General features: G+C 37.7%; 1 protein-coding gene and 1 long non-coding RNA gene across 26 annotated transcripts in view; one reads left to right on the top strand and one right to left on the bottom strand.

The window, feature by feature from the left end:
- Positions 1–20,514, bottom strand: part of GPHN (gephyrin) — a 1,227,209-nt gene that overhangs the window by 589,238 nt on the left and 617,457 nt on the right. For 22 of the 23 annotated variants that reach the window (XM_011536340.4, XM_017020913.3, XM_011536343.4 and 19 more), the window contains one exon: positions 2,669–2,756. The exons of the other annotated variant lie outside the window; for it this stretch is intronic. In XM_011536340.4, the coding sequence (XP_011534642.1) occupies positions 2,669–2,756 (88 nt within the window). The remainder of the gene's footprint in view (positions 1–2,668; positions 2,757–20,514) is intronic. 23 annotated transcript variants of the gene reach the window in all.
- LOC105370538 (uncharacterized) overlaps positions 1–20,514 on the top strand; it is a 116,677-nt gene that overhangs the window by 43,247 nt on the left and 52,916 nt on the right. Inside the window, exon 3 of one of the 3 annotated variants that reach the window (XR_007064216.1) lies at positions 5,273–5,481. The exons of the other annotated variants lie outside the window; for them this stretch is intronic. This is a non-coding gene — a long non-coding RNA (uncharacterized LOC105370538). Of the gene's footprint in view, positions 1–5,272; positions 5,482–20,514 lie in introns of those variants that run through there. 3 annotated transcript variants of the gene reach the window in all.

The raw sequence follows: 20,514 nt of genomic DNA, 5'->3' as shown, positions 1-20,514 counted from the left end.
GGTTTCCAGCCTCTACCTGATCTTAGTGCTCCTAGCATGGCCCAAAGGAGCAAAGACTTGAGATCTAATGGTACTATAAGAATACTCTAGATGTATCCAGTGCAGACCAGTGACCAGCTGTGTCTCCCTGATGCTTTGGTGCTGCTTAAGTACCTTCAGGTTCCTTGTCATAATTCTTGGAGATAGTAAGCTCCAGTTGTGGCTTAATAAAATTTCCCACCAGTCCTGTAGCATAGGCACTTAGAGTATAATTTAAATGGAATTAAATACATTTCTTGCATACCTGAGGTTCTGCACTTAATATTCATGCCTGCTACATAATACTTCTGAATTTTTCCTTGATTTCCCTGTCTTTTTAGTAACTGGTTTTCAGGCTTAGCTCCTGGGCTGAAGCAAATGTTCTGTCTTTTATTATTTTCTTTCTACTATGGAGGTACCCTAAATTCTTTTTGGAATTAAAACTTGTTTGCTGGCAGGAATTTGCTGCATGTATGTTTTATCTCTTTCTTCCTGGTTCCTCTATCATCTCATTCCCACTCAAGGAGGTAGGAAGGGACAATTAGCAGCTCCTAAGGAATACCGTGGGATGCCCAGTTTCTAAAATTTCTTTCCTAGTAAATTAAAGGTTTAGTGTAAGTATCTTATTATACAGAGAGTAAAAAAAATAAAACCAATATGCTTAACTATATTGGCTTTGTTTACTGGTGAGCAAATCCCTGGCATAACTGACATCTTTGTTAGCACTAATAAAGAAGGTTAGGTTGAGAAGTGTTCTGTCCTTACCACAATTGAGCCACAATTGCCAAGCCTATGTATGCTATGAGTTTGTTACCTCTCCAGAGTACTAGAAAAGATAAACGTTTTAGTTCTGCCAAATAGCTATTATCCCACAATTAGGTTAATCAGAAACTAAGAGAAATTATAACAAGACACAAACCCTGGAAATAACAAATTTAACATTTAAATAGACCTGACTTCATGGTTTGCTCTTGTAATATTGAGAGTACCACAGGCAGTTTGATGGTAATGAAAACAGACAAGTTGCAAATTATTTCTTTCAGCTGTACTACAGTGCAGATCTCAGCCCCTAGCCTTTGTGATCTCAGGAGAGCTCTGCGGCAATTTGCTCTACCTGGGGCTAAAGACTCTGGGAGACTTTGAGGGAACACTAATCCAGCAATTTGTCTGCTTTAAGAACACCTACACACACTACAACACTTTCACTCCTGGATGTAATGTGAGATTTTTTTCTTCCAAACTTTTTAGCATCTGCAGTGCTATTCTGAAAGGCTCTGACACTAAAGTTTGTGAATGGAAGGCAGGCATTCTTCTGTTCAGGTTGCTAAGTTCTGACATTTGTTCTCCGAGCCAACAGAGTTCACTGTCCAAAGAGTCAGGTTATAAATTTAGGCAGTTTTATAGCTACAAGAGGACAGAGATCAAGAACAATCATATACGTAAGATCTAGTTTAAAATAAATCAAACTCTTAGAAAATATGAATTTTGGTAAAAATTGCTATGACAGTATTTTTGTAATTTTTCAGTTTAGTCATTAATGTGAGAGAAAACATGGAAAAGGATTATCAGCTGGCAAAACATTTTACACTGAAATATCTTTGAGCCAAAAATTAAGCTTGGTTATTTAGTAAACAATATTTTACTTTTATAACATTATTCAGTAGACCCAATAGTCATCGTAAACTAACACATTTCATTAAGAAATGTAAACTTAGTGTTACTGAAATATTCAAATTGTGGTCTTTATAGGAACAAGTATATACCATCTACAAATACACTTAGTCCTATAAAATATTTGTGTATGTGTGTGTGTATATATATATATATATATATATATATATATATATATTTTTTTTTTTTTTTAAGACAGGGTCTTGCTGTGTTGCCCAGGTTGGAGTGCAGTGGTGTGATCTCAGCTCACTGCAGCCTTGACCACCCAGGCTCAAGCGATCCTCCCACTTCAGCACCCAAGTAGCTGGAACTGCAGGCGCGTGCCACCATGCCCAGCTAATTTTTGGATTTTTTTTGTAGAGATGGGGTTTCACCACGTCGCCCAGGTGGTCTTGAACTCCTGGGCTCAAGCAACCTACCCACCTCAGCCTCCCAAAGTATTGGAATTACAGGCTTGAGCCACTGTGCCTGGCCATATTTTCATTATTATTATTATATTATTTTGTAAGGAGGAGCAAAAGGAATGCCTAATCCTCCCTTTCTTCCTTGTGGGGAAGGGGAGCTAAGCATTCTTGGTAGATTTGGAATATATGGTGGGTGAATTGGTTGGCTCCTGGGGAGTCATGTTTAAATTTGAGTAGAAGGAAGGATCTTAGAGTTTTACCCTGGTGGTAAATATCATGCATAAAGGATGTCCTAATGTAGTAAAATAGAGTGAGAAACAGGTCAGAAGTTTCCACAGGAATAGCAAAAACCATTCTGTAAGTTGTGGGATTCTCCAGGTTGCTCCTGAGGGTAAGCTCCCTGACCTACCCACATTGTATCCCTTTTAAAGAGACCAGTAATTTCTGAAGCCCCATGGATTTTCAGCTTTGTGGGAGCCTCGTTATGAATATCAGATGCCTACCAGACCACAGTTAATCGACCATATGCAAGAACATTACAGCAGATACATTTTCACGAGCCCTATCTTTCATACCTTTTCCCCCATGGATACACCCCCTGATGTGATGATGACATCAGCACGACTGATACCCTCATTCAAGGCATTGAGTAAGTCATCTGGGCTGGAAAAAAATAAAGACAAAGAAATTAACACACAAGGAAAAGATTTTAGATATAGTGCCAACTTAAAACTACATCGCCTTATTCACTAATAGGCATTAACATGAGTACAGCACTATATTCTGTATGAAGTGGGAATCAAAAGGGTCTCTGCCTAACAGGAGCATTAAGTCTTATTATGGAGAAAGGACCTTGTACATGCTGAAGTAGTGGCTACTGGCGATTTCACAGGGCTTTTTATTCTAACAAGCCACTATAATGAAAGGAGACAATGAGATGTTGGAGGATGTCTAACTATCCTGGTTTGCCTAGGAATATTCCTGTTTTAGTACTAAAGTCAGATGTCCTAGGAATCCAAGGCAATCCTGGACAATTGGTTACCTGAGGTGTTGGAAAGATCACATAGGACTCTTTAGAGAGAATGTCTTAGGTGAGGCCCTGAGAAATGAGCTGGATTCAGAGAGGTGGAAAGGAAAGGAATGGGAAAGAGCTTTGTAATCAAGAGGATCTGTACTAGCAAAGGCTTGGAATAATGGTTAAGCCTGTGCTGTTTCTAGGTCACTGTGGAAAATGGCCTGCTTAGAGTGAAGGACTTGAGTGGGAATGACTGGGACAGTTAGGATGGGACATGATTTTGAAGAACCCTCAAGCTGATGAATTTGGAGTTTATCTAATAGGAAATGGAGGGGGGAGGATCCCTAGAAATAGGAAAAGCCAGTAGGTATTCATAATGTTGGGAAGAGAAAAGGTAGGGGGAAAAGGACAAGGAAAGCAGAGATGGTATGAACTACTCATATAGGATATTAATATTAGGAATGGAAGCTAGGCAGGTTCCTGACTGTCACTTGAAAAGGCAAGTGCAACAGGCTCTTTGATGGTACAGGTTGAAGGTCTGGGGAGAAGAGATGAAAACAGGGGTCTTATCTTTGGGTGTCAGAACAGTTGAAAAGTCCTAACTTGAGACTGATCAAGTGAGAATAAACAAAATGCCAAGAATCAAGACTTATGAAGGGACAGGATGATTGGGAATAGTTGAAAGGGATTGTTTAGTTATTACTTTAAATCCATACAAATCTACTGGGCAATGCGACCTGTAATTGGTATTTCCCTTCAATTGATGCAGTACAGAAAATATACTTTTTGAGGAGTATATATCTAGCCATACTCTTGTTGTCTGAAAAATTCTTACCTATTTATACCGCCTGACTCTTCCTTTCCCTTTCTTCCCTATGGACATCTAATGAGAACAACTAAAAAGGGAGTAACCCTGGCTACCTGCCTTTCATCCCCCTTGAGGCCCAGCTGTATTCTTGCTCTTGGGTTCTATGAGATAACCTTGTATCCTTCCATAAATGTCTTCTTTGCTTGCACTAGCTTCAGCAGGTTTTTGTTAACTTGAAAACAAATGATCTCTCAACGAGACAGCATATGTTCTCACAAATATCTCATGGCAGTGAAGTTTATTCATGCCCCCTTACCTTAATGCACTATTTGATGAGAGAGGAAGAAGGAAAGTTAGTGACTCAAGATAGCATGATTTGTAACTAGGATATAATTTCAATTTTTATCCAGGTGTGACAGAGGTAGGCAGAACTTGAGACCTACCAGAGACACAACCTTCACAGACTCTATAAGAGATAAGCTAGTCAGGAGGTGGCATAGCACAGAGATTAAGAATGTGAACTCTGGAGTCAGACTGCCTGAGTGGAAATCCTAGCACCACTGCTTGCTAGATGTTTAACCATGCACAAGTTGCTTAACTTCTCTTTGCCTTAGTTTTTCATCTGTAAAGTAGCCATAATAGGGTTGTTATGAGGATTAAATGACATCCTATTAATACATATAAAACACTTGGAATAGTACCTGGAACAAACTAGGTTTTCAAGAAAGTCATATGTCATTACTATTGCTGCTATGTTAACAAGTTAATCACACAAACATACCCAACAAACTGGCAAAGTTCGACTATAGCATGCTTGGGATTTTTATTCTGGAAAATACTCATGAGTAACACACAAGAAAATCATAGACTGGGACTTAAATACATTCACAGAGCTAAATATGAAAGGTCCAAATGGCAAGGTAGGCCTGGTTCCAACCTGAATAGCTTCATTTACTATGAGGTTCTCTTACAGGGTCTGGGTAAAATTCTCCCTTTCCTCTAGCACTGGCCTGTCCACAAGCTCTGACTCTGGGAAGCAAGCTCCCAAGGAGAAGGGCCAAAAGTAAAAGTTTGAAAAATGGCTCATATAAGGTTCAGCCTACCAACATAGAGACCCTTTAAAGTCATTCAGTCAGTCATTGCATAGGCAGCCAAAAAAGTGCCCAGGTATTAACTGAAGGTAGAATCTATGTGTAAAACATTAAAGACTTAAAAAAAAAAACCCTGACATAAATTTCAAAGTTAAACTAGTTGGGCAAACATCTCAGAATTATTTTGAATAATGTTGTACTTAACGTATTTTTGACCTATGTATTTTGAACAGATTTCTCATCTATCCTTTTCATTTCGATTTAGGAAAAAAGACAGCAAATTATTCTGTTGTATTGAAATACTACACAATATGCATGTGATGGGTTCCTGATGCCCAGAGTTCTGGGCTCCTTGCCTTGCTGGATCATATTATCATTATGCTAAGCCAATGGTTCCTCATTTACTATGGAGTAAATGGAAAAAACATCCCAAACACAGCATCACATGGAATGTGGTTCAAAATACTGACTGGGTAATGAATACTATCAACAAATATAATTTTATGTTAGTAGAAAAAGATATTAGCTAATTTTACAAACCTTGTAATATATAACTACAATATGTTGATTCTATAGAATTATTGTAAAGCTACTGTAAACAAAGCAGCAGTGAGATGCACACCATCATGGTATTCATCTCTGTAGGGGGATAAAGGTTCTGGAGCCTAGCTGATTACTATAAATAAGTACTTTTCAGTGCTTTATCGTACTTTTTTTTTTTTTTTTTAGATGGAGTCTTGCTCTTGTTGCCCAGACTGGAGTACAATGGCACAATCTCGGCTCACTGCAACCTCTGCCTCCTGGGTTCATGCGATTCTCCTGCCTCAGTCTCCCAAGGAGCTGGGATTACAGGTGCCTGCCAACATGCCAGGCTAATTTTTGTATTTTTAGTAGAGACAGGGTTTCACCATGTTGGCCAGGCTGGCCTTGAACTCCTGACCTCAGGTGATCTGCTCGCCTTGGCCTCCCAAAGTGTTGGGATTACAGGTGTGAGCCGCCGTGCCAGCCTTACTCATTATTTTCATGTTATCTGGGAAACATGTTTTTTTCCTATTTTGTGAAACCTCAGAGACATCAATTCTCTACATGAAATTTTCTAATTTGCAGAAATCAGCTGAAAGGGATTTTGTTCCAAATCCTTACTGAAATTTATCATGTTTCAAAGAATATGCTCAATGATACTTTGTACTCTGTGGGTAGTATATTCACAAAATCATTGAATCTCAAAGTTGTAAATGTTATCTTGTCCATTGTCACTGCTGGGCCAGTTATTTGGGTCCTGCCATACTCTATCCCCCTTTGCTACTCTCTGTAACTCTCCTTTCTGTTGTACGCTTCTGGCTTCTGGAGATTTGATCAGACATCCTGCCTTACTAGAGAGACAGGTACCAACATATGACAACAGCCAGGGGATCTATAACTTCATTTATGTTGCATGCTATAATCTCTCAACAAATCTGTATGCTAGACTGAAAAGGTATTACTATGCTCATTTTAAGAAAAGGCAAGTTATATTCAGAGAGGCAAAGTGTAGATAGAGCAGTAAATGGCAGAGCCAGGACTACAAACTCTGGCTTCTTATTAAATGCTTGTTCCACTCCCTGCCTAATCAGAAGTGATTGTGTAGTTTTTTAAAGGCATGTAATATACCATAAAAGAAAGAGTCTAATGAGAACGGACCCTTGTCCAGAATCATCAGAAAGAGAGGATGCTGGCCAAGTGCGGTGGCACACCTGTAGTCTCAGCTACCTGAGAGGCTGATGTGAGAGGATTGCTTGAGCCCCGGAGTTCAAGACTGCAGCGAGCTATTATCACATCTGTGAATAGCCACTGCATTCTAGCCTGGGTGATGTAGTGAGACCTAGTCTCTCTCTCTCTTTTTTTTTTTGAGATGGAGTATTGCTTTGTTGACCAGGCTGGAGTGTAGTGGCGCGATCTCGGCTCACTGCAACCTCCGCCTCCTGGGTTCAAGCAACTCTCCTGTCTCAGCCTCTCAAGCATCTGGGATTACAAATGTCCGCCACCATGGCTGGCTAATGTTTTGTATTTTTAGTAGAGATGGGTTTCACCATGTTTGCCAGGCTAGTCTTGAACTCCTGACCTCAAGTGATCCGCCCACCTTGGCCTCCCAAAGTGCTGGGATTACAGGCATGAGCCACCGTGCCTGGCCCTAGACCTAGTCTCTTAATAATTTAAAAAAAAAAAAAAAAAAAAAAAAAAAAAGGAGAGGATGCTGTGGCAAGAGGTATGGATTTGTCTGAGGTAACCAGCAGAAAACTGCATGTGTGAACATTTTACTATCACTCTGTGGAATGAAATGAACATGATTCAGAATCCCATGTTCAGATGAAAACTATGATTTTGGTTAACCATAGCTTAAGGGCCTATTCACATCATAAATTTGCTTTCTTTTTTATGATTCATGCTATATTTTAAATTATAAAACATTTCCAACATAACAGTATAACAAACACCCATGTATCCATCGCTCAGATTTGACAAATGCTAATATTTTCCAATATTTACTTCATATTCCTTCCCCCAGACTCTTCATTTTTAACATATAAAAACTGAGTTTTCTTTCTAAAACTCAAAGATTACTCTGAATAGTGATAAGAGGAAATAGGTAACAAGGGTTATAATCATGAATAATATAATAGAGAGAAAACAGTTCATGATTTTCTCAGTTTTCTCACATAAAGCAAGCAGGGTATATTAATTTTCTCAATGATAGGAGGCTAAAACTACAAAACATTATAATCTGACCTTATATTTAAGACAGAACTTCCCACATATAAGATCAATTAATATCCAAGAAATATAATTAATGACAATACTAATGTTTTTAAAAAATACATTTTCACACCTATGTGTTAATCTCACAACTCTGTGAGGAAGGCAGTACAAAAGAGGACACTGAGGTTCACATAGGTAGTATTAGGTTCAAACTCATCCTGTGTTTTCTCTATTCTTCTTCTAAATATAGTAATATTTGCATTATGAAAGACACTTTGTTACACATAAAACACCTTCAGATAAAAGCTATTTATCAGCATTTATATAAATATATAAATCTTATTTGTATATACCAAATACTGATAGAAACAAAATTTGTACTTCTAAAATTTGACTTATTCTCACCACTGCCACTAGAGGGGCTATTGGATTAAGCAGATTAAGTTTTCTAGGTATATATCAGTAGTTTCCCTTTTCACAAAGAGTGGCATATCTTAAAGGGATATCATGATATCACTTAAATCTTTCTTCATTAACAACTGCAGTTTTAATTTAATTTGGATGGTGCTTAGCCATTCCTTTAAAGATAAATCTCTTTTTTTCTTTTTTTGAGACAGGGTCTCACTCTATCACCCAGGCTGGAGTGCAGTGGTGTGATCACAGCTCACTGCAGCCTCCACATACCAGGCTAAAGCGATCCTCCCACCTCAGCCTCCTGAGTAGCTGGGACCACAAGAGTGCGCCACCACACCTGGATAATATTTTTTGTGTTTTTTGTAGACAGGGTTTCACCATGTTGCCCAGGCTAGTCTTGAACTCCTGGGCTCAAGAGATCTGCCCGCCTCAGCCTCCAAAAGTGCTGGGATTACAGGCATGAGCCACTGCACCTGGCCGAAAAATAATTCTTTTTTTCTTTTTTAAGACAGAGTCAGCCAGGCGTGGTGGCTCATGCCTGTAATCCTAGCACTTTGGGAGGCCAAGGCAGGTGGATCACGAGGTCAGGAGATCGGGACCATTCTGGTTAACATGGTGAAACCCTGTCTCTACTAAAAATACAAAAAATTAGCCGGGCGTGGTGGCGGGCACCTGTAGTCCCAGCTACTCGGGAGGCTGAGGCAGGAGAATGGCATGAACCTGGGAGGTGGAGCCTGCAGTGAGCAGAGATCGTGCCACTGCACTCCAGCCTGGGTGACAGTGCAAGAATCCTTCTCAAAAAAAAAAGACAGATTCTTGCTCTGTCACCCAGGCTGGAGTGCATGGCGCTACCTCTACTCACTGCAACCTCTGCCTCCTGGCTTTAAGTGATTCCCGTGCCTTAGCCACCCAAGTAGCTGGGATTACAAGTGTGTGCCACCATGCTTGGCAATTTTTTGTATTTTTAGTAGAGTTTTGCCATGTTGGCCAGGCTGGTCTTGAACTCCTGGCCTCCCAAAGCGCTGGGATTATAGGCATGAGCCACTGCGCCTAGCCAAAAATAATTCTAATACTAACATGAATCTTGATTTACTAACACTTCCCATTCATTTTCATTTGAATAATTAAATACCTAACCATTGTTCTCTTAGAGTACCAATATTACATGAAAACATTCTGTAAGACAATTGCTTTAATGCTAAGAATGTATGTACTAGGCAACAGAAGATAAAGCCATTAATTGAAGACCTGAGTGTCACAAAGTCTAGAATCCTGTTTTATCTCTACTGCTAACTACCTAGATGATCCTGAAAAACTAGTATCATTTTTTTGGGGAAGGGGGTATTATTCTCTTTATCTATAAAATGAGGACATTTGGAGTATGTCTTTTTCATCTCTAACATTCACTGATTCTAAGAATTTGTGGTTGGTTGGGATCCAGATCAAGGGCAAAGCTATAAATTTTTTTAGGTTGACCCAGAAGTCTGAAGTCTACTTGAAAAAATACTAAGACTGCCCTATCCTTTAAAGGCTGGGAAAGTCCAGCCTTCACAACAAAACCGTCCAGGAAGCACAGAGGCTTGGACTGTTTATTTTTTGTACTTTAATAGAAGACTAGCAGCTTGCCATTTTGTGCTTTGCTAATTCAGGAATTGACACTTCTCTTCCTTTTGCCACTCATGATCCTCTTTCCCACTGTAACTCCATTCTCACCAGGCCCAAAGTACCCTAGCAGCTTCCAGAACCCTTAGGGTGAATCGAACTTTCAGTAGGGAGAGGAAAATACCAGCAACCTAAGTAACAACCAACTGGAGAGTGGAAGAATGAGCATAATATTTAGGATACCTAGAGAAATAAAACTTCTGGGGCAATAGATAATTTTAATAACAATAATAAGCAATTAAAACACTAATACAGATTCAATTATGACATTAACACTGTGTTCTGGAACAAAATATGTGATTTTCAAATTTTAAGATTTAGTAGATGAAGGTAATTACAGTCCTTGTCAAAAATTCAATTAGTTGCTTGGAAGATCAAGTGGTAGAAATATCTCCAAGGATTGTGCAAAAGTGCAAAAGATAGAAGTCATGCAGAAAATAATAAGAAGACAGAGCAAGAGACTGACATACTACCAATAGGAATTCCATAAGGAAATAAAGGAAGAGATAGGGGGGAAAAGAGGAAAATTTTATTTATTTGAGAAGAGTTGGACTTGGAAATTGAAAAGGTTTACTAAGTTCCAGCCAAGATTGATTTAAAAAAAAAAGCAAAACAAAAACATAAACCTAAATATGTCCTGGTACAATTTTGGAATTTCAAAAATAAACAGAAAATCTTACAAGCTACCAAATATTTAATAGGAAGATTGGGTTACTAACAAAGGAAAAAGTAATATTGGCTTTGGACTTCTTACCTACAATACCAAAAACTAGAAAATAGTAAATTAACATCAACATATCTCTTCAAGCCATACAACCCTCAAATCTTACATCCAGTCATTCACTAATCAAAATGGAAGAATGATACTTGTTAGAATGCAAAGATTCAGATGACAAATCACCAAGTAATGTTCTGGAAAAATGACTGTAAATGAAAAAATGATTCAGAACATAGACTTCAAGGTAGGGGAAGTTGGAGGAGAGAAAACAGTAGTGAAACACACACACACAGTCCTTTATAAAAAATATAGCTAAATCTAGGCTGGGCATGGTGTCTCACACCTATAATCCCAGCACTTTGGGAGGCCAAGGCAGGTGGATCACTTGAGGTCAGGAGTTCGAGACCAGCCTGGCCAACATGGTGAAACCCTGTCTCTACTAAAAATATAAAAATTAGTTGGGTGTGGTGGCAGGTGCCCGTAATGCCCGTTACTCAGGACACTGAGGCAGGAGGATCACTTGAACCTGGGAGATGGAGGTTGCAGTAAGCTGAGATTGTGCCATTGCACTCCAGCCTGGGTGACAGAGTAAGACTCTGTCAAAAAAAAAAAAAAAAAAAAAAAAAAGAAGAAAGAAAGAAAGAGAAAAAAAGAGAGAAAGAAAGAGAGAGAAAGGAAAGATAAAGAAGAAAAAAGAAAGAAAAGAAAAATTAAAAAAGAAAGAGAAAGAGAAAGAAAGAAGGAAAAAGAAAGAAAGAAAGAAAATAACAAGTAGGGCAAAAAGTCACCAGGCAAATGTAAATAAGCAAAAAAGCAGGAGTAGTAATATTAATGTCAAAACGGGATTTGATGTTAAAAAAAAGAATAAAGAGACACAACAAATTGTGATAAAAGGAAACTTTGTAAAGGTGATGCAGCAGTATACAACTCTCTCACAAGACAGCGTCTCATTTCATCCAGACTTCCTGATTGTCCCACCAAATTCCTGCACATTGTAGGCACTCAGTAAATGGGCTGAATGAAACTTGATTTCAAGTCAGTCTATCCACAGTAGCTTTGGGAGTAAATAGTTTAGTTACTCAATTATAATATCATAGGCTAATAATATTGTCTGGGATGAAAGAAAAGATACTGCTAAACATATAATCATAAACAGTACTTTGAGAAGGGATTAAGGTGAAACAACTGTATATTCAAATATCATGTAAAAGAGGAAGCCAACTTATTTGGCATTGCTTGGAGGGCAGAATTAGGGCTAACAGATGAAAGACACAGGAAGAAAGACTGGCTCTGTGTAATGGAAAAACATACTTACTTTAACAGCCATCGAACAATAGAATGTGCTACCTCATGAGGCAGTAGAGATCTTTCTCACTAAAAGAATTCAAACAAAAACCTAACAGCTAAGTTGTTGCAGATTTTCCTTAACACCCCCTTGGGTGAAAGTCTGGACTAGCTAACATCAGAATAAGATACTGTGATTCTATGGAAATACTGAAAGTTACATAAACACAATGACTATTTTCTTTTCACATATAAACTGAAGCATAGAGGGAAACACCAATCTGACCTGACTGATGCAATTTGATACTTGTCTTGTAGATAATACTCTTCTCCCTTTCATTTTTGAACATAAGAAACATTTGCCTATTTGACTTGAGTGAAATGAATAACGGTATCTTTTCTTCCTAAAGCCATGACATTCATCTTCAACTTGGAAGATGGCTACCAATATTAATAGCACTCTCTGTAGAGTTCTAAGTTGATCACATGTCAAAGAACCACGCACTTAATAGAAAGGTAGAAAAAGAGAAAGGAGGAGCATGTTTCAAAATAAATCTGTCAGAGAATGAATGCAGCTTTCTCAAAAGTGTATGTACTCATCAGTTTCTGTGAAGAAAGAATATATTCAGAGGGTATGACATCTTTTGAACACTGTATCTTTTCAGATTTCAATTTGATTGCTTTGGGGGCTCAATTCCAAAGCAACTTAAAAAAGTTAAGACTTTTTTTGCTTTTTAAAATTTACATCTGCCTCAAATTACTATAATCCTGATTCTGGCATAAAATTATTTTTGCTTTATCATGAAGATAAATGGTAAAGGCTCTGTCTTGGTTTTGAATTTTACAGCATTTACCCAAGTTTAGGATTTATGAATTTCAGAAACAGTATTCAGAATGCAAATACATTTCTATTTTAAAATATTTAATATAAACACACAGATGGACAACAGCTGCTAATTAGTTTCCTGTTTCATCTGTTACACCAACTGCAAGCTGCATCATTTTAAGATGAGTGAAGATGACACAGAGAAAAAGTCTAGGATGTGTGGATTAAAGAATGTTGGCAGTTAATCATACCAAGGTAACAAAAAATAGCTGAGGACATCTATTATCATATCATAGTTTCTTCAGAGGTCAAAGATAAATTCATTAACTACAAATCTTTTCTGGGTGTCTACTTCACGTATGGAATCAAACTACATACTACACATATAGCCATCATTTCATTCTTTTCCAGTCTCACTGGGTGTTCTGGGACCATGGAGTCATGTAAAGAAAGAAGAAAGCATGGTTCTTGCCTTTAAGTTTATAAGCTAGTGCAGAAAACTCATCAGTGAAAAAAAGTTAGAAAAATGAGTGAAATAAGCAATGACATTAATATCATCTGTTGAATTCAAATACATTAATTAAAATGAAAAAATATATATCATATATTTATATATAATATAAAGAAATGACAAAAAGGGTAAATGGGATAGAATGATTAGAATTAGTTGGAGATAATTAGGACAGGCTTTCTGGAAGACATTACTTTTTATGAGTTTGGGGTAGGAAAACAATGTCTAAAGCTACAGTAATACCTAGAGGTTATTCATAGAAGAAACAGAAATGTCAACTGCAATAGCAACGCTTAAAGATAAAGGAGGGCAACTCTAACAGCTACATAAAAAGTCTATCACTGAGATCGGAAAGAACCTCTCGTCATTAAACACGTTTGTTAAGGTAGAAAGAATGTTCTTTGTTAACCAATAGAAAATGAGAAACCTCTGCTGAAAAATGATCAGAAAATAAATCTATCCCAGCTTGCTAGGAGTAAAAGAAAAAAAAAGAAGAAAATAAATCTATTATGTTGACTCAAAAATGAAAACTTTGCATTTTGAGCAGAAAAGGAGGTTCATGCCATAAGGAGAGCAGATAGTTTATAAAAATGACAAGAACCAATTAAATTCAGATCTAAATTATCGTTGATGATTAGAAAACTCCTACTTTAAGAACATTGGGTAAGCAATGAAAAATTAGGATGTGTTTGGTTCACAAATTGGAAGTTGTAAGGCACTCGGCTTTGCCCAAATAATCACTGTGCTGTTAAGTCTATCTTGATAATTCCTGCTAAATGTGCCAGGTTTTTAAGAACCCAATTTTCTATCTCAGTATTTGTCCTTCTGCTTCTTGCTTTAATATAAAGAGGTAGCTTCACAAATTCGCAGCAGCAAGAGGAGGCAGTTCAAATACAAAACATCAATCTATGACATAGTCAAGTAAGCCCAGGATTTGAGTGGGGCAGGCTTCTGTGATGGCAATTTTCCAGAAGGGGGAAATCTTCTTAATGATGGGAATTTCCCAGCCCTTCCTTCAGGCCTTGAAAGGCTAGAAGGTCCAAGTTGGCAGTTCAGAAGCTATATTGCTGAGCTGTCATAAAGTTGAATCCTTATTCAATACTTAAAATCAGTTTGAGGAATTATATAAACTCAATTAATGCTGAAATTTATTTAAAAAAATTTCCCCAAGTGGATTCTATTTGGATAATGATTACCGCTTGTTATATTCAAGAAGTAAATTTGTAAGATCTTTTCAAGCCTGAGAGAGCTGCTCCTCAATTTTTTAAATTAAAAGCCTGCTAAATCTATTTGGAATTTCTCCCAAGATGCTTTTCTTCAGAAATATAAAATGAACCACCCAGCCACAAAGCTTTACACTGTACATTTTTTGGGGATGTGTCTCAGGAATGCAACTCTACTGTCAGTACCATACTTTCTGGCCTGCTCCTATGGTCAAGGCTTTTGGACTTACTTTGAAGGGGCCCTGTAAGATTCTTCTGGACTGTTGTATAATTGAAAGTTTCTAGGTTTCATGGAAAGAGAGAATGGTATAGGAAAAGATGGCAGGGCTGTTTAATGTATCCCTACTAAGTGCTGTGGATATAGTGTTTACCAACATACACTTTGTCCTAGTATTCATGGAGCTTATCTGGTGGGAAAGAAAACAACCCTGGCCCAATACTCACAAATCCTTTTTCCACCCTGTTTAAGCCATACAAGACAACAACTTCTCAAAGCAAATTTATTAGGAAACTGAGAAAAAAGAAAAAAAAAAAGCAGTAACAGAGAAAAATATATGTGCTCAAATGACCAATATCTTACTAAGTTCTGGCCACAACTGCTTGGCTAGCACATATAGCATTCAGTACTTATTTACCCATCTACATTTCTTTGTCTTCAACTCTTCCCCTACAGTAGCTCACACTGTCTAGGAGGACTAAAGGAGGCTAATAGGTTATTGAACCAGCCTCGGGGAAAAGAAAACTAGGACATCTGCTGTTCCATATTTAAGGTAGATCCCTTAGAAAATGGGCAAAAAACCTGAACAGACACTTCTCAAAAGAAGACATACAAGCAGCCAACAAACATATGAACATATGTTTAGGGATATGATCATTTAACATATCCCTAATCACAGAGAAATACAAATCAAAACCACAATGAGAGACCATCTCACACCAGTCCAAATGGCTATTACTAAAAAGTAAATAATAGATCTTGGTGAGGCTGCAGAGAAAAGAGAACATTTACACACCGTTGGTGGGAGTGTAGATTGGTTCAGCCACTGTGGAAAGCAGTTTGGAGATTTCTCAAAGAACTGAGAACTACCATTCAACCCAGCAATCTCATCACTGGGTATATATCCAGAAGAAAACAAATCATCCTACCAAAAAGACACATGCACTCTTAAGTTCATTGCAGCATTATTCACAATAGCAGAGACATAGAATGCTCTTCAATGGTGGACTGGATAAAAAAAAAGTGGTGCATATACATCATGGAATAGTACACAGCTATAGAAAAGAATGAAATCATGTCCTTTGCAGCTACATGGATGCAGCTGGAGGCCATTATCCTAACTGAATTAATGCAGGAACAGAAAACCAAATACTGCATGTTCTTACTTGTAAGTGGGAGCTAAACACTGGGTACTCATGAACATAATGATGGCAACAATAGACACTGGGAACTACTAGAGGAGGGAAGGAGGGAGAGGGGTAAGGGGCCTAAAACCTAACTATTGGGTACTATCCTCACTACCTGGGTGACGTGATCATTGGTTCTCAAAACCTCAGCATCACCCAAAATACCCATGTAACAAACCTGCACATTAGCCCCTGCATCTAAAATTTAAAAAGTAGAAAATATGTAAATATATAAAGAATGCATTTGAGTGAAAAGAACAGAAAGAATAGAAAGGCACTGTGCAATCAAAAGAAGAAAGAACGACATGAAAATGAAGAAAAAGAATTTATAATGAGAGGTTGAAAATTCAAAGCCAATATATTACATTATTATTTTGTAGAATTCTAGATGAGGTAAAATAGTTGATATTTTGTCAAGGGTAACATTAAAGACTTTCTTTCTTTCTCTTTCTTCCTGCCTTCCTCCCTCCCTCCGCCTTCCTTCCTTCCTTCCTCCCTCCCTCTCCCTTCCTTCCTTCCTCCCTCCCTCCCTCTCCCTCTCTCTCTCTTTCTTTCTCTCTTTCTTTCTTTCTTTCTAGTCAATGATGCTGCCAACCTATCATCTATTGGGGGAAAATATCTAATATGAACAGTTTATCACCATGGGTTCTGGAAAACAAAACATAGCTATGAAATACTTTTTATGCTTGGAGAAAACAAAATGTAGGTAGGCTAAGGTTTCTATTACATTAGTTATCTGTCAAGTTCTACAAATATATACTATGGCTAAATTTTCAAGTCTTATTATTTGAGCAATTGCAAAATAGTATGAGAAATAAAATTCAAAGTCAATATAGACATTAAGATTTTGCATTTAAGTATGTTTTCTATAATCTTTTGATTTAAACTTTTGTTGTATTACAAAATATTATAATTTTACTTAAAATGCAGCAAGACTTTGGCTTCTTTTTAATTTGCCTACTTATCACTATGTTTATGGCATTACACACCTAATAGTATTAATAGCTCTTACTTAGATTCAGATTCCTTAGATGAGCTGCTTGCCTCTTTTGTCCGTTTTGGAAAGTTTGATTACAGTTGTCAATACTGGTCCACCAAATTTTTAATAATGCATAAGGGGAATTTTTAGGAGGTTCTTTTATTACAAAAGAAATACAGTATATCCTCAGGGTAAAAATATTCAAGTATTTCAGAAATATTAAAAAAAAAAAGTAGAAGTGGCTGGGCACGATGGCTCACACCTTTTATCCCAGCACTTTGGGAGGCCAAGGCAGGTGGAACACCTGAGGTCAGGAGTTTGAGACCAGCCTGACAAACATGGAGAAACCCTGTCTTTACTAAAAATACGAAATTAGCTGGGTGTGGTGGTGCATGCCTGTAATCCCAGCTACTTGGGAGGCTGAGGCAGGAGAATCGCTTGAACCCATGAGGTAGAAGTTTCAGTGAGCTGAGATCGCACCATTGCACTCCAGTGTGGGCAACAACAGCGAAACTCCGTCTCAAAAAAAAAAAAAAAATTAGAAGCGCCCACCGCCACGCCCGGCTAATTTTTGTATTTTTAGTAGAGACAGCGTTTCACCATACTGGCCAGGCTGATCTTGAACTCCTGACCTTGTGATCCACCTGCCTTGGCCTCCCAAAGTGCTGGGATTAGAGGCACGAGCCACAGTGGCTGGCCCTTACCATCACTTTTAATTCTCTAACTTCTACCCCATATGCAAACTCTTACTACTAGAAATAACACTTGGGTGTATAGGGTATTTCTACATATAAATACCTTCCCATGCATATACCATATTTATAAATATATGTTTGTTCAGTTGCTATTCAATGTGAGATAAAATTAAACATGTTATTCTGCAACTTGCTTTTTTCAAATAAAATGTATTTTGGGAAAAAAGTAGAAACAGCAGCCGGGCACGGTGGTGGGTGTCTGTCGTCTCAGCTACTCGGGAGGCTGAGACAGGAGAATCACTTGAACCCGGGAGGCAGATGTTGCAGTGAGCCGAGATCACGCCACTGCACCCCAGCCTGGGCGACAGAGCGAGACTCCGTCTCAAAAAAAAAAAAAAGTAGAAATAGGGTTGTGCTTAAAAGTATATAAACTCACATAAATTTGTGCCAATTCAGAATATCTAGGCTTTACTAGTTTCATATTTGGGCTGGGGATATAAGATTTGGTAGTCAGTCATTAGCATACAGAATGAAAAGGACAGAAAGCCAAGGGTAAGCCACGGGGAGACCTATATTTAGGGGAATGAGCATAGCAAAAAGAGCTATAAAAGCCAAGAAATAATAGATTTTGAGTGGAGAATGAAGACATGGAAATAGTATGTTGCTACACAGGAATATAAAATTGTGGTAAAGAGGCCTAACAGCTTGCTTTTCCAGGCATTTTGTGTTTACATACACATACCATTTTGAGGCTTTGTAATCCAGACAAAGATAATTCAACAGTGACACTGCTCTCTTCTACATAATAGACTTCAATATTTCTCTTTATTTAATCTCTTTCTTCTTATAGTTCCAAATTTGAGTTTAAGTTCTGGAACCTTCTAAAATATTTTTACTGCTTGGAATTTGTGATTCTTCAAAAGTAAGATCAATATCTGTTTCAATTTTGTATCTTCCATAGCCTTTGGCTTAAAATTCATAGCAGACGCATGACTGATCTTACTATATTCTTGATACTTCCTGTGTTCCACAGACCTGCAGTTTGGTATAATTTTGGAGCTTGTCAGAGATGCAAAATCTCAGCCCACCCCAGATTTGTTAAAGTATAATCAACATTTTCAATAAGATCTCCAGACGACTCACAGGTACACAATCAATACTTCCTGGTGACTGATTAAACAATGAGTAAACAAATTGTATTGTTCTCCTTATTTCCAGTCTCCATCATTAGCTTATATGATAAATCTAGGTCAATTGATCTTTTTAAAATAATTGTTTTTTATGTCAATTCGGCAAAACAAAAACAAAAACAAAAACCCAAACAAACCAAAAAATACCCAAACTTCAAATTTAACTGAATTGGGTAGTTTGGCAGCCTAAATTGCAAAGCCATTTTTTTTTTTTTATTATACTTTAAGTTTTAGGGTACATGTGCACATTGTGCAGGTTAGTTACATATGTATACATGTGCCATGCTGGTGCGCTGCACCCACTAACTCGTCTTCTAGCATTAGGTATATCTCCCGATGCTATCCCTCCCCCTTCCCCCCTCCCCCCACCCCACAACAGTCCCCAGAGTGTGATATTCCCCTTCCTGTGTCCATGTGATCTCATTGTTCAATTCCCACCTATGAGTGAGAACATGCGGTGTTTGGTTTTTTGTCCTTGCGATAGTTTACTGAGAATGATCATTTCCAATTTCATCCATGTCCCTACAAAGGACAGGAACTCATCATTTTTTATGGCTGCATAGTATTCCATGGTGTATATGTGCCACATTTTCTTAATCCAGTCTATCATTGTTGGACATTTGGGTTGGTTCCAAGTCTTTGCTATTGTGAATAATGCCGCAATAAACATACGTGTGCATGTGTCTTTATAGCAGCATGATTTATAGTCCTTTGGGTATACACCCAGTAATGGGATGGCTGGGTCAAATGGTATTTCTAGTTCTAGATCCCTGAGGAATTGCCACACTGACTTCCACAATGGTTGAACTAGTTTACAGTCCCACCAACAGTGTAAAAGTGTTCCTATTTCTCCACATCCTTTCAAAATCTGGTTCAAATTTCTACTCAATTTACCTGTCTTATCCTTCTACCTGAATCTCTTGTTCATTTCTAATTCTCTAGACACTATTTGTTTCTACTTCTCTACTTTGTGCATTCAGTTTCCTACTTGGATTAACACACTCTCTTTTCCTATCTAAATCCTACTCATTCTTTTAAGTTCTAGCTTGAAACTAGAGGTTTATAAAACTCTGTCTGACCAATCCAGCCCACAGTAGTACACAGGTATACAATATCTTGTCTTTATAATGATAGTAGAGAATTATGGATTGTCAATCTCAGGAAATTTAGATTCCATTTTTATCTCTGCCACTAACTAGTAGTATAATGCTGGGCAAGTTACTTAATATCTCTGGGTTTCAAAATGTGTCTCTTTAAAGAAAAAGACTATAGGAACTCCAACAGTACTGTGTTCCAAACAGTGTGAGAAAACAAGAAATGTATTTTAATATATATATAATGTTTACAAATGAATGATTTTCAAATACAGTTGTTAATTCTCAGGTATTTGAAGCATCCCTCCAGTAATCTTCATAGTACTATTAAATTAACCTTTTAAAATAAAAGGTATAGTAAGCAAAGGCCATTTAGTCCAACTCACTTCAAAGAGCTACAAAGTCTTATTCTTCTATTTTTACTTTGATTGTCAAAATTATGGCAGGTGATAAGAATAAGAGCTGAGAAATAGAATCATATAGAATTTAAAAACCAGACTCAAACCTTTTTTAATGATACAAATAGAGCTGTCACTCTCTACCCTTATCTGTCATAGTTGAGTAAGGTTCTGTGCTTACTGACTTTTTTTTTTTTTTTGAGACAGAGTCTCGCTCTGTCACCCAGGCTGGAGTGCAGTGGCACGATGTTGGCTCACTGCAACCCCCACCTCCCACATTCAAGCGATTCCCCTGCCTCAGCCTCCCAAGTAGCTGGGATTATAGGCATGCACCACCATGCCTAGCTAATTTTTGTATTTTTAGTACAGACGG

Source organism: Homo sapiens, chromosome 14 (genome assembly GCF_000001405.40).
Source record: "Homo sapiens chromosome 14, GRCh38.p14 Primary Assembly".
NCBI classification, from domain to species: domain Eukaryota; kingdom Metazoa; phylum Chordata; class Mammalia; order Primates; family Hominidae; genus Homo; species Homo sapiens.
Note: the sequence above shows the minus strand (reverse complement) of the source record. Positions and strands in the feature narration are given on the sequence as shown.